Raw genomic sequence first — 14016 nt, 5'->3', positions numbered from 1 at the left:
AAAATAAACCCTCTATGAAGGAGGGGCAGTACAGACTAATGAGCCTAAGGTTACATGATTCTAACAACTCTTTTTGTTTGTTTGTTTGTTTGTTTGTTTTTGAGATGGACTCTTGCTCTGTTCCCCAGGCTGGAGTGCAATGGCACGATCTCAGCTCACTGCAACCTCCGCCTCCCAGGTTGAAGCGATTCTCATGCCTCAGCCTCCCAAGTAGCTGGGATCACAAGCGCACGTCACCACGCCTGGCTAATTTTTGTATTTTTAGTAGAGACGGGGGTTTCACCATGTTGGTCAAGCTGGTCTTGAACTCCCGACCTCGTGATCCACCCACCTTGGCCTCCCAAAGGGCAGGGATTACAGGCATGAGCCACCGCGCCCGGCCAGTTCTTCCAACTCTTAAGCCTTTCCAGGAATCTGTGATGTCAGCTTCGTTATTGTCGGCTTCCCACCTTGCAAACAGTTAGGTTTCAGCTTTATCCACTCTAATTCAATTACTATTTATCCAACTCCCTTCTGTCTCCCAAATTTTGTTGATAACTGTGGTATCCACCTAAATTCATGTTTCCTCCTCCATAGTACACTGTTGTCTGTGGGAATAAGCTACCCAGCCAAAGTCTGTATTTACCAGGTCTCCTTACACCTCAGTGAGGCCATATGATTAGTTATAATCAATAAATCATGAATGCAAGTAGCTTGTTTTTCTCCAGGCCTTTAAGAAGTGTGCACTTTCCCAAGCTTTAGGGGATAATAGATTCATAAGATGGAAGAGGCCTGGAACCTTGAATCACCACAAGGACACAAAACAGGTTCCTCTTTCTTTGCTGACACAAAAATCTGCAATCGACTGTTACATGAGTAAGACATAAATCTCAGGCCGAGGCGGGCGGATCACCTGAGGTCGGGAGTTTGAGACCAGCCTGACCAACATGGAGAAACCTCCGTCTCTACTAAAATTACAAAAAATTAGCCGGGCGCGGTGGCGCATGCCTGTAATCCCAGCTACTTGGGAGGCTGAGGCAGGAGAATCGCTAGAACTCGGGAGGCGGAGGTTGCGGTGAGCCGAGATGGCGCCATTGCACTCCAGCCTGGGCAACAAGAGTGAAACTCCGTCTCAAAAAAAAAGACAGAAATTTCCATTGCATCAAGCTACTTTAATTTGGGAAGCCAACAATGTTTTTTACTGTCTGTTATTTGCTTTCATGCTCTCTTAATCATTGTAGGTTTACACATTTTTGAATTGCTTTTACTGTCAACTTATGGGCATCTTAAGAAAGCAAAAATAAAGTCCTGGGTTTCACTACCATTTTAACCAGAAGTCCCCTTGAACAATGTGACCACTTGAGCCAAATGTTTGACTACTGAGTAACATCAAAGTGCTTGTGTCTAGGGACTACCTTTTCCCTGTTCCAGCAATAAAATACTATTTCTGCCCCTTCGTTTTTAAACCTGAATAATGATGTTTGCTTCACATAGTAGAAAAACAAAGAAAAAAACCCATTATGATCCTACAACCCAGACACAAATGGTAATGCATTGGTGTATTCTCCCACACCTCCCAAATACGTATAATGCAAAAATTTTACTTGAGGTTATACAATATATGCATTTAAAAAATTCTCCTCTTTTCATTTAACATTATATCACATGCTTCTTGCCTGAACTATCACAATCTTTTCGAAAATACTGTTATTTATTTATTTATTTTTGTTATCCACTAGTAAGAGTTGCAAAACATCGTTTTTATTGGCTTTGTAGCATTTTTCCAGGTAGATATAACCTATATTATGTAATCATCTTCCCTCCCATTGTTGGAAATGTTTGTTATTTTAATTATTTCATTATTATAACAAAATATCCTAAGTGTCTTTGAACATAAATGATTTCTTTTAGTTTGGATTGTTTCGCTAAGTGAGTTTTCTTCAAAATGAAGTGAGTCAGCTGGGCGCGGTGGCTCACACCTGTTATCCCAGCACTTTGGAAGGCCGAGGCAGGCAGATCACAAGGTCAGGAGTTCAAGACCATCTGGCCAACATGATGAAACTAAAAATACAGAAAAAAAAATAGCTGGACATGGTGGTGCATACCTGTAATCCCAGCTACTCGAGAGGCTGAGGCAGGAGAATCTCTTGAACCAGGGAGTTGGAGGTTGCAGTGAGCCAAGGTCCTGCCACTGCACTCCAAGCCTGGCGACAGAGCAAGACTCCATCTCAAGGAAAAAGAAAAAAAGAAGTGAGTCACCATTTGCACGAGCTTCCTGGTGGAATGGAGAAGTGCTAAGGCAGCAACAGCAAGGATCTTGTTCCAAGAACATGGGTAAGGGAGCTGATTAGTTTCCTAAGACTGCCCTAACAAATTACTATAAACTGGGTAACTTAAAAAGACAGATTTATTCTTAAGATTTTGGCCGGGTTGGTTGTTTTCTAGGTGCTCTGAGGGAAAATCTGAGACCTCTTTCCTTGCTCCTGATGGTTGAAGAAAATCCTTGGCATTCTTGGTTTGTAATTGCATCACTCCAGTCTCTGCCTCCCTCTCAACATAGCTTTTGAACTAGTGACTATGTGTCTGTGTCTCTAAATTTCTCACTTCCTATAAGGACAGCAGTCACTGGATTACTGGATTTAGAGCCTACCTGAATCCAGCATGATCTTCTCTTAACTTGATTAAATCAGCGAAGACTGTTTTCAAATAGGTCACACTCACAGGTACCACAGGTTAGGATTTCAACATATCTTTCTGGGCAACACAATGCAATTCACTTCAGGAGCAACTGCCTTTTTGTCTGCCCTAAACGAAAATGCATGTGGGAAAACTGTATCTGCAAGAGAGTTCGAGGGTCTCAGGTGTAAAAGAGATTCTCTCGTTTGTATCTGAAAGTCTGTCTGAATCTACTTGGTGGTACTTTGGCCAAGCATTTCAATTCCCAGAACTCAAAGCTGTAATCCCTGAGATTCCCCATTAAAGAATAAACAATAAAAGCCTGGTTCTGCAGTGTTTTCCTGAACCAACAGTCTTTAATCCTAGGGGGTAAAAAGGTATTAATATAGCTAGATTTAATGTGGCATTCACAAGCTCTTTTACGTTAGGAGGGACAGACAATGTTCTCAAGCTGCAAAATTTTGGAAAACATGTTATCTAAGCTTCTCCATATTCCCCTGGCTCCTGGGACTGCCTGCTTCCCTCCCTGGGGAAGGTGAAAAGGAGTGAGTTTTCCTGAGAGGATGGAGACCTTCCCATCAACTTTTTCTTCAGAGGGTCCACGAGGGCTAGGTCTTCCCTGCCCCTTCTCATCCTGCACCCCTGCTCAAATTGGGTTTCAACGAATTCTTTAAGCCAGAGAAAGGACAAAGCAGTTCAAAGCTGTTGAAGATATTTCTGGTTTAGTATTCAATACTGAAAGCAAAAGCAAATGACTCCAAGGTCATAATTCCTTCAAATTTCCTCTAGCAGGTTTCCTGTGCTATTGTCATTTGAGGCTGTGAAGCTACTAGGATCAGACCCTCAGCTCCAAACTCCCTTTCTGCTGGTTTCTCACAAATACCTGTGAACAGGTGCATCAACCGTGACTAGCAAGTGGAGTTCTAGGGGGAGAGAAAATCCAAGTCTCTTGTCTCAGAATGCTCCTTTGAACTCCACTTTTCTCAACTGAATTCCAATTCAGTATGGATGACTTATTTCATCTAAAAGCTGGAAGCTCTTAATGCACCTAGAAAATTCTTTGTTACTAGACTTAGTAACCAGGCACCAAAACATCTTTTACTGTAGTATCTACTTACCATACTACCCAAGAATGGCACACTGCTCACATCTTCAAAAGCTTAAACCAAGAGCACTACACAGGTGCGTAGTCGTGGCCGAGTGGTTAAGGCGATGGACTTGAAATCCATTGGGGTTTCCCCGCGCAGGTTCGAATCCTGTCGGCTACGGTTTGGTTTTAGCCTGACTTCTCCCAAATAGTTTCCTTCTAATTGCACCCCAAAGGCAACTGAGTCTCCTGGATTACAATTGTGTCATCTCCTTTGGTAACACTGCGTTGAACTCTGCATTCTAGCTGTCATCATCATTATTAACCCTGCGTTGTAGTTTACCTCTTTCTCTGAGTCCATTACTTTCCTCCTCCTCCAACATCCGAGACAACCGTGTCTCGAGTAAGAGAGAATCTATTGCTGTGGTGTAAACACCACCTAACGTTAATCCTGATTTGAGGAAGGCAATTCTCTTTTCCTCACCTACAAGCTCTGAGAATCGAAGTCAGACTCCATCGAGTTTTCTCTGTAGATAAGTCTAAGTTGCTTGTCTGGTGTGTGAAGATTTTGCCTATAGTGTATTAAGTGTTTTGTTAGCCCAAGTTTAGGGACTGTCATTCAACAGCAACAAGGCATTACCTGTTTTGCAGCAATAACAATGATTGTGATTGTAGCTTCAATATAAATTCGTTGGTTTGTAGACAGTACCACACACACTGTATCTTCTCGGCCTAAAAATTCGAGAGCCCAAGAATGGGAAAGGTTTATTAAACCACAGGAAGTGGATGTTAAAGCTAGCCTCTGGCTGCCAAGCCCTTATTATTTTTATTCTATTGATTTTGTTAAATGTCTTCATCTTACAGCTTAGAAAAATTCAAGGTGAAGTTCTCTGGCCCCAGTCTATTCTTCCTATCTTCTCCAGCACATTCAAAGACCAAGAACACTTATCTGGGCTTTACAGTAGATTCAGGAAACAGTGTAACTTCAGACACTCAGTACTTTGGTTCTCATACAGAATAAAGTTGGGAAGAAAAGGTCGAGGGAGAAGACGAAAAGATGTGGAAAAACAAGAAAACGGAAGAGAGGAGAAAGGCCAGGAGATTGAAGGAATGGAACAAAAGAGAAGCTAGCAGGGTGCCAAATATAGGAATGTTCTCACCCCTCTTGCCCACTTTTATTCTGAGTTTCCTCTGTCTTAGCAACCCCTAAATGCCCTTGCTCTTGCTCTGACAGGCAACTTTCCACTATCTCCACTCTTTGAAATCAGCCCCTGATGTCAAGGCACTTCTTAAAGTCCAATTCCTCCACAGAGGCATTTGTATTGTTTCCAGTTTGGCTATTATAACTAGTGCTGCCATGAATATTCTTGTACATGTATTTCAGTGAATATAAATAAATATTTTTGTTGGAGAGATATACTTATGGGTGGAATTACAGAGTCACAGTACATGTATACATTCAAGATTTAATATATAATGCTAAGTCATTCTCGCAAGTGATTGAGCCAATTTACACCCCCTGAGCAAGTATCACATTGTCCTGATTGCTATGGCTTTTTAAGTAACCCCCCCCCCATTTCAGGTAGCTCAATTTTTATTTTAAATCTGACATACATTCACTAACACATTGCCTGAAGCTTCAGATATTGTTGAAAGCAGCAGTGTTGACATTCCTCATGTGCTCCTGAAACTTGGGAATCTCCTCAAAAGTCTGTGGCCACTTTGTCATCTTCCCTCATACATTTGATCGACATCTTGTGGATTCTATAGTTTGGAGTTGCCCAGGTCAGCCATTGCAGCTGGGGCATACACGAGCCCCCAGCTGGGCCTTGTCGATATCTTCATTCCAAGATTTGATGTCTAGAAGGATGGAGGACTTGAACATTTACATGAGCTTTCTGACCATGCAAATAAGAGGCAGATGCTAGACAACTGTATTCTCGTTAACTTTTAATGAGTACATTTTGTGTCATTTAAACCTAGATTCTCCTATGGGCCTTAAAGTAACTGTGACTTTGAGGTTTCAGAATTGACTGGAATGTTTCTCTGATCAGAGCAGCGGTCTTAGGAGTGAGGAAAGTCGAGAGGGTCCATTGGCAGTTAAGGAGGAATGGCAGAGGGGTCCCACCGCAGCTCTGCTCTCAGAGCCAGGTAGGGGCCATCAGTGGGCAGAAGATGCAAAAAGCAACTTTTCTCCCCGTCGGGGAATCGAACCCCGGTCTCCCGCGTGACAGGCGGGGATACTCACCACTATACTAACGAGGAAGAACTCTGCGTCAGCGAGTTTTGACTACCTCTAATAAACTTAAGTATTCTTGCCCACTTTTTTAAGTCTGTAAGTTTGTATTCTACTAAATTGATTATACTTGGCGAATTTACACTTTAATCTGCCGCCTAAGCCAAAACGACGGGGTCTGTCAGGACAGCCTGGTCTTTCGATTGTGGTGGTGTCGAGATCTCTGACAGTGTTTCTAGTCATTTGCAACCAGCGAGACCGGGTGACCAAAGCAGTTGAACCATTGATTCCACAGAAACTGATAATTGACCAAAGACTTGGACCTCTGACTAGGACTAAATTTCCATGAAGAGGAAAGCACTATCAAGACTTGTAACAGGTATAGGCTTCAGGAGGGTTTGGAAGGCAGGGAAACGAGAGGCGTCCCCAAGAACCGTACAAAGGTACCGCTAACGGGAAAATGACTAGGTATCTGCTAATTAAGGTACCCATAATCTTATGAAAATAGTAGGTATTCAGTAACTTCCACCCTCCATTGTTGTGGGGTTTCAGGATCGGGGAAGTACCAAACAAATTCAGTTCGCAACACGTGAGTTGGCTTAAATTTCTTTCTTCTAAATTTTCTGTTGTTAATTATCTAAAACCTCGAACTCGTAGTCGGCAGGATTCGAACCTGCGCGGGGAGACCCCAATGGATTTCTAGTCCATCGCCTTAACCACTCGGCCACGACTACACAGAATCACAACGTTTTTTTTCACGGTATAGACATGAGAAAATGCAAATCAGGATAATTACTATCTAGGTACAAGAAAATGGGCTTTGTGAGTTGAACGCAAACTTTCAGGTACAACGAGAGTTTGGTTAAAAAAAAAAAAGCAAAAAAAGCCAACCTCCTGTGCCACCTGGACAAGAGCACTGGAATGAGAGTACTCCCGCGTGAGGATGAGCATCATCAGCGTTCCAAACAAAGAATACAAACTTCACGTTAGTAAACAGTGAGCGAGCTCCCGTCGGCGCCCGGAAGTAGGCTGTGGTCTGAGCTCTGGCAGTGGAGTCTCTGCAACTGGAACTAAACTTTGCTAATTAACAAGTGGACTGAGACCCTAACTTACGGCCCCCACTTATCTATTGCCTTTGAACAGCCTGTCTTCCGATAGCCCTGGACACTTTGGAAGATTGCATAACTTGTGGGAAATCAGCACTTTGATCAAAGTGGAAAATGGGCAGAAACAGCTGGTGATTTACATGATTTACATAGTTACGATGCAAGGATGTCCACTGTGGCATTGTTTGTATATAGCATGTAAATATGCTAACTAGTAAGGGAATGGTGTGATGCATTCCTATCACAGGGTACTATGCAGCTGTTAAAGAATTAGATTCTTATCGTTTTACTTGGAAATGTGTGTAAACTTTAATCCACAAAATAGCGAACATAAATAGTTCTATTTATATCGAATGAACCCCCAAATTAAAGTCCATTAAAAACATCCGAAGGGACGCTCACCAATCTAACAAAAGAGCAAAATGGAATGTAAGTGAGAGATTAAAATATCAATTTCGATTACTTTTGTATTCTTTACATTTGTCATAAAAACAATCTGCATTATTTATATAATTGGAAAATTAAAAATGGAAAAACAGACTGCATTAATTATATAATTGGAAAATTAAAAATGGAAAAACAGGCTAAAATATGCCATTGCATACTTACGCATTTAAAAACTGGTTGTGTAAAAACAAAAAAGTTAATACTAATTTATCTGAGGTGTTGAATCATAGCTCCTCATCGTTTTCTTCTTTTAGCTCTTCTCTCTTTCAAATTTTCAAGCAAAGTATATGTATTTATTTGTATTTTTACTTGAAGTGTTCCCACTCTTCCTTAAGACTACAAGATGATTGTAATACCTTGTTATCTGTTTGAAGAAATAAGGAGTGGTATGGCATTGATATTGAACCAGTAAAAATAATGCTACTATCTAACTATTCTAAATTTCACATTTTAGAAAATGCCTTCACATTCAGGATCTCATGTAACTCTCAGAACAGTTCCATGAGGTGCTGCCACCCACTTTTACAATAAGAAAAATGTCCGGATAAGAGAACTTTGTACATTCACAGGGCTACTGAGTATTGAAATCAAAGCATCTTACTCTGTATCAATTACTCTTTCCTTATAGAGATGGAAAATGACACCTTTAAGAAAAGAAAGGCACAGTCCTCTCAGCATTCAAAGGATAAATCCCACTTGGTCGCAGCATATCACCCTTTTTAAAAATTGCTGATTCAATTCGCTAACATTTGTTAAGAATATTTACACCTATTTTCATGAGGAACATTGGTTTGTAATTTTTTTTTTTCTCAAACTGTGATCTGGTGTTTGTTCACTTTGTTTTTGCTGAGGTAGGGCTATTTCATTTTTTATTTTTTATGGTAGCTTATTTTATTGAGGTAAAATATATATGTTTAATTTACCATCTTTACCATTTTTAAGTGTACAGTTCAGTAGAAATAAATACATTTATATTCTTTGTTTCCCTTCATCCCTCCCAAGTTTTGATATCAACTAATATTCAATTCATAAAATGAGTAGGAAAGTGTTCTCTACTTTTCCAGTTTCTGGAAAAGTTTATGTACACATGATATTATTTCCTCTTTAAAGGTTTGGTAGACTCCACCAATGAAGCCATCTAGGCCTGGATTTTTCTTTTAGAGAGGTTTTTAATTATAAATTATATTTTTAACAGTTATATTACAATTCAGATTATTTCTTGAGTGGGTTTTAGTAGTTTCTACCTTTTGAGAAATTGATATATTTCATCTAATTTGTCAAATTAATTGGCATATTATCCAAAATATTCTTTTATTTTTTGTATAATCTAGGTAAATGTCCCCTGTTTCTTTCCTGCTACATTTATTTTCTGAGCAGTCCGACTGGAGATTTATCAATATTATTCATCTTTTCAAAGCACTGGTTTTTAGATTTCATTGATCTTCTCTATTGTTTTTCTATTTCATTCTCTTTTGCTCTTTAATATTTGTTCTCTTCCACTTACTTTGAATTTAATTTACTCTTATTTTTCTCGTTTGTTAAGGTGAAACTATAGATGATTGATTGACACTTTTTTTTTTTTTAAGGGTCTGGCTCTGTCACCCAGGCTGGGGAGCAGCTGGGGTGTAGTGGCACGATTTCTGCTTGCTGCAGCCTCCACTTCTCCAGCTCAAGCATTCTTCCCACCTCAGCCTCCTGAGTAGCTGGGACTGCAGTCACCCGCCAGCCACCAACCTGGCTTGTCCCTCCCTCCCTCTCTTCCTTCCTTCCTCTCTCCCTTTCTCTCTCTCTTTCTCTCTCTCTCTCCCTCCCTCCCTTCCTTCCCTCCCTCTGACCTTTCTTTCTCTCTCTCCCTCCCTTCCTTCCCTCCCTCCGACCTTTCTTTCTCTCTCTCTCCCTCCCTCCCTTCTTTCCATCCCTCCTTCCCTCCTTCTCTTTTCTTTTCTTCCTTTCTTTCCTTCCTTCCTTCTCTCTCCTTCCTTCCCTTCCTTCCTTCCTTTCCTTCTTTCTCTTTCTTTCTCTTTCTTTCTTTCTTTCTCTCTCTCTCTCTCTTTCTTTCTTTCTTTCCTGTTTTCCTGTTCTTCTGGTAGAGATGGGGTCTCACCATGCTGCCCAGGCTGGTCTCAAATCCCTGGGCTCAAGCACTCCTCCTGCCTCAGCCCCTCAAAGTGCTGGGATTACAAGCATGAGCCACAGCACCTGACCACTTTTTTCATAATAAGCTTTTTTTCTTTTTTCTATAAAAGCTTTTTTCCTATGAAAAGCTTTAGCTGCATTTTGTTATATTTTGTTACCATTTTTATTTAGTTCAAAATAATTTAAATTTCCCTTGTGATATATTATTTGGTTTTAGATTATTTTGTTTAATTTCTGTTAATTGATTTCTGGTTTAATTCTGTTGTGGTCACAAAATATACTTTCTGTAATTTCAGTCCTTTTAAGCTTACTGTGACTTATTTTTTAGTCCAAAATAAGGTCTGTCTTGGTAAGTATTCTATGAGCGCTTGAAAAGAAAGTTTTCTGTTATTGCTGAGAAAAGCGTTATATAAATGTTAATGAGGTCAAATTTGTGGTAATGTGGTTCAAATCTTCTGTATTCGTACTGAATTTTCAGACTACTTGTTCTATCAATTACTGAGAAAGAAGTGTTAAAATTTCCAACTATTAGCCTGGCTCAGTGGCTCACGCCTGTAATCCCAGCACTTTGGGAGGCCAAGGGGGGTGGATCACCTGAGGTCAGGAATTTGAGACCAGCCTGACCAACATAGTGAAATCCCGTCTCTACTAAAAATACAAAAATTAGCTGGGTGTGGTGGTGGGCACCTGTAATCCCAGCTACTCAGGAGGCTGAGGCAGGAGAATCACTTGAACCCGGGAGGCGGAGGTTGCAGTGAGCCGAGATGGCACCACTGTGCTCCAGCCAGGGTACAGAGCAAGACTGTCTCAAAAAATAAATAAATAAATAAATAAATAATAAAAAATATAATTTCCAACTATATTTGAGTAATTTTTCTATTTCTCCTTGCAGTTTAGTAGGTTTTGCTACACATATTTTGAAGCACTATTTGTAGGTGCATACATGTAGGGTTGTTGTGGCGGCTTCTTGGTGCATTGACCTCTTTATCATTATTAAATGTTCCTCTTAATCTGATTATAGGCAGTAAATAGGGCAATTTCTTTCTCATTTTTTCCCTTTTCCCAGGTATCAAAATTAGTCACTGCCTATTGTCTATCTGAAGAAAATTGTTATATATACTTTGTACAGTTTTCCAGTTGTTTAAGGTGGTAGGGTAAGTCTGGTTTCTATTACTTTACCATGGGGAAGAAACAGGAGTCCTTTTGGCACTGGTCTTAAAATGACCAATTTCACTTTAATCCTGGTGGGATATCATCCTTTCCTTTGAGTTGTGTTTACTGATCCTCTTCCTCCATGATCCTTTTCTTGACTATACACTTTACTGCACCTAATTTTATTCATAATTAACATTGTGAGAGTCAACAATTGCAACAGGTCCATGAAAAATAATTGGTTATTAGTTACATGGATATCTTCTTTTATAAAATGTTTATTCAAGTTTTTGATCATTTAGTTGAGTCATTGATATGTAGCAGTCAAGATTCAATAAAAGAAGCAGAACCACTGGGATGCACTTCAAGCTTCAGCGTTATAAAGACTGTGGGGCAGGTTATCAAGAAAGGAAGAAAGAGGTAAAGTGGGGAATATTAGAACAAGCTGGAACCCACAAGCATGAACTGGATCCCCACAGGATGAACTGAAATCTGTGTCAGCTCTTGTTGCCTCTCCTTGGTGTTGTAGTATTCTACAGAAGACAGGGTCCTTTGCTTGAAGCTAAACACAGACATTTGGCTCAAAAATTACAGAGGTTGAAGGAGAACCCACAGGAAGGTGGGGTAGTTGCAGGCACAAATACTGCCATGTGACAAGATAAGTCAGCAGGTGAGTTAGCATGAGCTACAAAATGACTGCTACTTAGCTTTCTTTCTCAAATCTTCTGCAAGAATATCTCTTGGGGACCATCCTAACCAGAGACACACAGAAAAAGAAATTCTGGGGAATGTAGTTCAGCCTGGCCAAGTTGATACCATAGCAGTGAAGATAATGTTTGGTATCAATTAAAAATAAAATTTAAATTTAAAAAATGTGTTAATATTTACATACATAATTAATAACACTTAATTGTAGGTTTGCAATAAGTCATGATATACATGTTGTATAAGTCCTCCAACTTTGCTATCTTCTTTAATCTTTTCTTGTTTTTTTTCTATTTTTTCTTTTCTTTGAATCTGTAAACTAGAGATTTTCTTTTTTTCTAAACTTGCTTTACCTTTAAAATATATTTTTGAAACTGCTAGTTAAACTTTAAAAAATACAGGCTCAGAACTTGACTAGGATTCATTGAACTTATTGATTAATTTGGAAATAGTTTTCATCTTGATGAAATTGAGTCTAACAAGACATACTTGTTATTTTTCCTCCACTTCCTCCATTTAATTTCCACCAGCAACGTTTTATAGTTTTAAGTGTAGATTTCTTGCATATCTTGCTAGATTTATTTTTATTTTATTGTATTATTATTATTTTTTGAGACAGAGTCTCGCCCTGTCGCCCAGGCTGGAGTGCAATGGCATGATCTCCGCTCACTGCAACCTCCACCTCCTGGGTTGAAGTGATTCTCCTGCCTCAGCCTCCCGAGTAGCTGGGACTACAGGTGCATGCCATCACACCCGGTTAATTTTTGTATTTTTAGTAGAGACGGGATTTCATTCACCATGTTGGTCAGACTGGTCTTGAACTCCTGACCTCGTGATCCGACCCCTCGGCCTCCCAAAGTGCTGGGATTACAGATGTGAGCCACTATGCCTGGCCGTTAGATTTATTGTCAAACTTTAAATTTTTTGCTGCTATTGGGAATGGAATATTTTAATTTTAATTTCCACTTATGCATATACACATTTTGGATATGGTCAGTAAAGAAAAGAAGAAACAGACAAATGATGTTCAATTATAGCTGAAAGTGAGCATCTATGTATTATTTCAAATGTGAGGTAGAGTGACTGAAGAAATAATTGTGCATAACTCTGCTGCACAATAATATCAATATCAATATTTTACATTTTAAACACTAACATTTAAATAACATAATGGTAATAATTAAAAATTAAATTAAAATGTTGATTAACATTTCAGATTTATTTTATATGCAAGAAGGGTATTCCTTGATTACAGACTTCAACGGTGGCTTCACAGAAAAGCTGATTTAACATTCAGAATTCAACGCACTTCTTCAATTTCTTCTTCCTTTAACTTATACTTTTCAAAATAACCAAATATAATGCAAAATAAGTAAGCTGCATAAATCACGTAATGAGTAATACAAAAGGTAAGTTGACAGTGGAGAAACTTAATAGACATCATCTTAATTCATCACAGTTAACATACGAGTATCAGTACGAATTAACATCATGTGCCACTGGATTTGAAGAATGGTAAAGGACCTTGCTTCACTTCTGTGGTATTGCTGCCAAAATAATCTGAATATAACTCGGAGGAAATAGCAGACAAATTCAAATTGAGGGATTGAGGGGGCTGACCTACCTTTTTTTTTTTTTTTTTTTTTTTTTTTTTTTTTTTTTTGAGACAGAGTCTCGCTATGTTGCCCAGGCTGGAGTGCAGTGGTGCAATCTTGGCTCACTGTAACCTCCACCTCCCGGGTTCAAGCGATTCTCCTGCCTCAGCCTCCCGAGTAGCTGGGATTACAGGCGCGCGCCACCACGCCTGGCTAAGTTTTGTATTTTTAGTGGAGACGGGTTTCGCCATGTTGGCCAGGCTGGTCTTGAACTGGCCTCAAGCGATCCGCCCACCTCGACATCCCAAAGTGCTGGGATTAGAGGCGTAAGCCACCGCGCCCAGCCCTACTTCTCCAAGTGAGACATATTTGTGAACACAAAGATGAGAGACACCTTATGAATATAAACATTCGTTTTCTTCCCGGGCGCAATTCCGTGAGGGAAATTCGAGGCAGGGGGTTCGAAGACAGGAAATGAGGCAGCATCGCCAAAACCTGCGTTTTGCTCATAGAGAATATTGCTTATTTTTAGGCAAATAAGAAGTAATGTTGGGATCACTGGCACGCTGGGAACCCAGTGGCAGTAGAGGTTTGAATGAGCGAGGCATCTGGACAAGTCAAGTCAAGAAGTTTGCACCCTTGTGGTAAGAAATGGGTGGTAAGGATTTCCTTGTTAGGTAATTTCACACTGCCAAACAGATGGGTTAAGTTAGCTCACTGGGAGCAAAAACCACCCCGTAGTCGGCAGGATTCGAACCTGCGCGGGGAGACCCCAATGGATTTCTAGTCCATCGCCTTAACCACTCGGCCACGACTACAGCTGTGGAACTTCACCCTTTGATAGATTGGTGAAATGACGTGTCAGGTGACGTGTGCAAACTTCTGTCTTTGGTGAGT

General features: G+C 40.1%; 4 non-coding genes across 4 annotated transcripts, besides 8 other annotated features; 1 reads left to right on the top strand and 3 right to left on the bottom strand.

Annotated features, from left to right (window-relative positions):
- Positions 3488-3919: a silencer, noted in NCBI's record as "fragment chr6:27473611-27474042 (GRCh37/hg19 assembly coordinates)". NCBI's record gives its function as "represses an EF-1alpha promoter that drives an FKBP-Casp9 reporter gene in an ReSE screen in HepG2 liver carcinoma cells {active_cell/tissue: HepG2}" and the evidence as "EXISTENCE:reporter gene assay evidence [ECO:0000049][PMID:32094911]".
- On the top strand, positions 3842-3923 carry TRS-TGA4-1 (tRNA-Ser (anticodon TGA) 4-1). The gene has a single exon. It is a non-coding gene; the product is annotated as a tRNA-Ser (tRNA).
- Positions 3850-3909: a silencer, noted in NCBI's record as "silent region_17028". NCBI's record gives its function as "represses an Ori minimal core promoter by ATAC-STARR-seq in GM12878 lymphoblastoid cells {active_cell/tissue: GM12878}" and the evidence as "EXISTENCE:reporter gene assay evidence [ECO:0000049][PMID:35858748]".
- Positions 4030-4109: an enhancer, noted in NCBI's record as "active region_24289". NCBI's record gives its function as "activates an Ori minimal core promoter by ATAC-STARR-seq in GM12878 lymphoblastoid cells {active_cell/tissue: GM12878}" and the evidence as "EXISTENCE:reporter gene assay evidence [ECO:0000049][PMID:35858748]".
- Positions 5872-5991: a silencer, noted in NCBI's record as "silent region_17027". NCBI's record gives its function as "represses an Ori minimal core promoter by ATAC-STARR-seq in GM12878 lymphoblastoid cells {active_cell/tissue: GM12878}" and the evidence as "EXISTENCE:reporter gene assay evidence [ECO:0000049][PMID:35858748]".
- Positions 5936-6007, bottom strand: TRD-GTC2-7 (tRNA-Asp (anticodon GTC) 2-7). Its single transcript has one exon. It is a non-coding gene; the product is annotated as a tRNA-Asp (tRNA).
- Positions 6631-6712, bottom strand: TRS-AGA2-4 (tRNA-Ser (anticodon AGA) 2-4). The gene has a single exon. It is a non-coding gene; the product is annotated as a tRNA-Ser (tRNA).
- Positions 6792-6841: an enhancer, noted in NCBI's record as "active region_24288". NCBI's record gives its function as "activates an Ori minimal core promoter by ATAC-STARR-seq in GM12878 lymphoblastoid cells {active_cell/tissue: GM12878}" and the evidence as "EXISTENCE:reporter gene assay evidence [ECO:0000049][PMID:35858748]".
- Positions 7022-7301: an enhancer, noted in NCBI's record as "active region_24287". NCBI's record gives its function as "activates an Ori minimal core promoter by ATAC-STARR-seq in GM12878 lymphoblastoid cells {active_cell/tissue: GM12878}" and the evidence as "EXISTENCE:reporter gene assay evidence [ECO:0000049][PMID:35858748]".
- Positions 13021-13521: an enhancer, noted in NCBI's record as "H3K27ac hESC enhancer chr6:27464009-27464509 (GRCh37/hg19 assembly coordinates)". NCBI's record gives its function as "activates a minimal SCP1, AML or CMV promoter by ChIP-STARR-seq in naive H9 embryonic stem cells {active_cell/tissue: H9 hESC(naive)}" and the evidence as "EXISTENCE:reporter gene assay evidence [ECO:0000049][PMID:30033119]".
- Positions 13767-13966: a silencer, noted in NCBI's record as "silent region_17026". NCBI's record gives its function as "represses an Ori minimal core promoter by ATAC-STARR-seq in GM12878 lymphoblastoid cells {active_cell/tissue: GM12878}" and the evidence as "EXISTENCE:reporter gene assay evidence [ECO:0000049][PMID:35858748]".
- TRS-AGA2-3 (tRNA-Ser (anticodon AGA) 2-3) lies at positions 13856-13937 on the bottom strand. Its single transcript has one exon. It is a non-coding gene; the product is annotated as a tRNA-Ser (tRNA).

Source organism: Homo sapiens, chromosome 6 (assembly GCF_000001405.40).
Source record: "Homo sapiens chromosome 6, GRCh38.p14 Primary Assembly".
NCBI classification, from domain to species: domain Eukaryota; kingdom Metazoa; phylum Chordata; class Mammalia; order Primates; family Hominidae; genus Homo; species Homo sapiens.
Note: the sequence above shows the minus strand (reverse complement) of the source record. Positions and strands in the feature narration are given on the sequence as shown.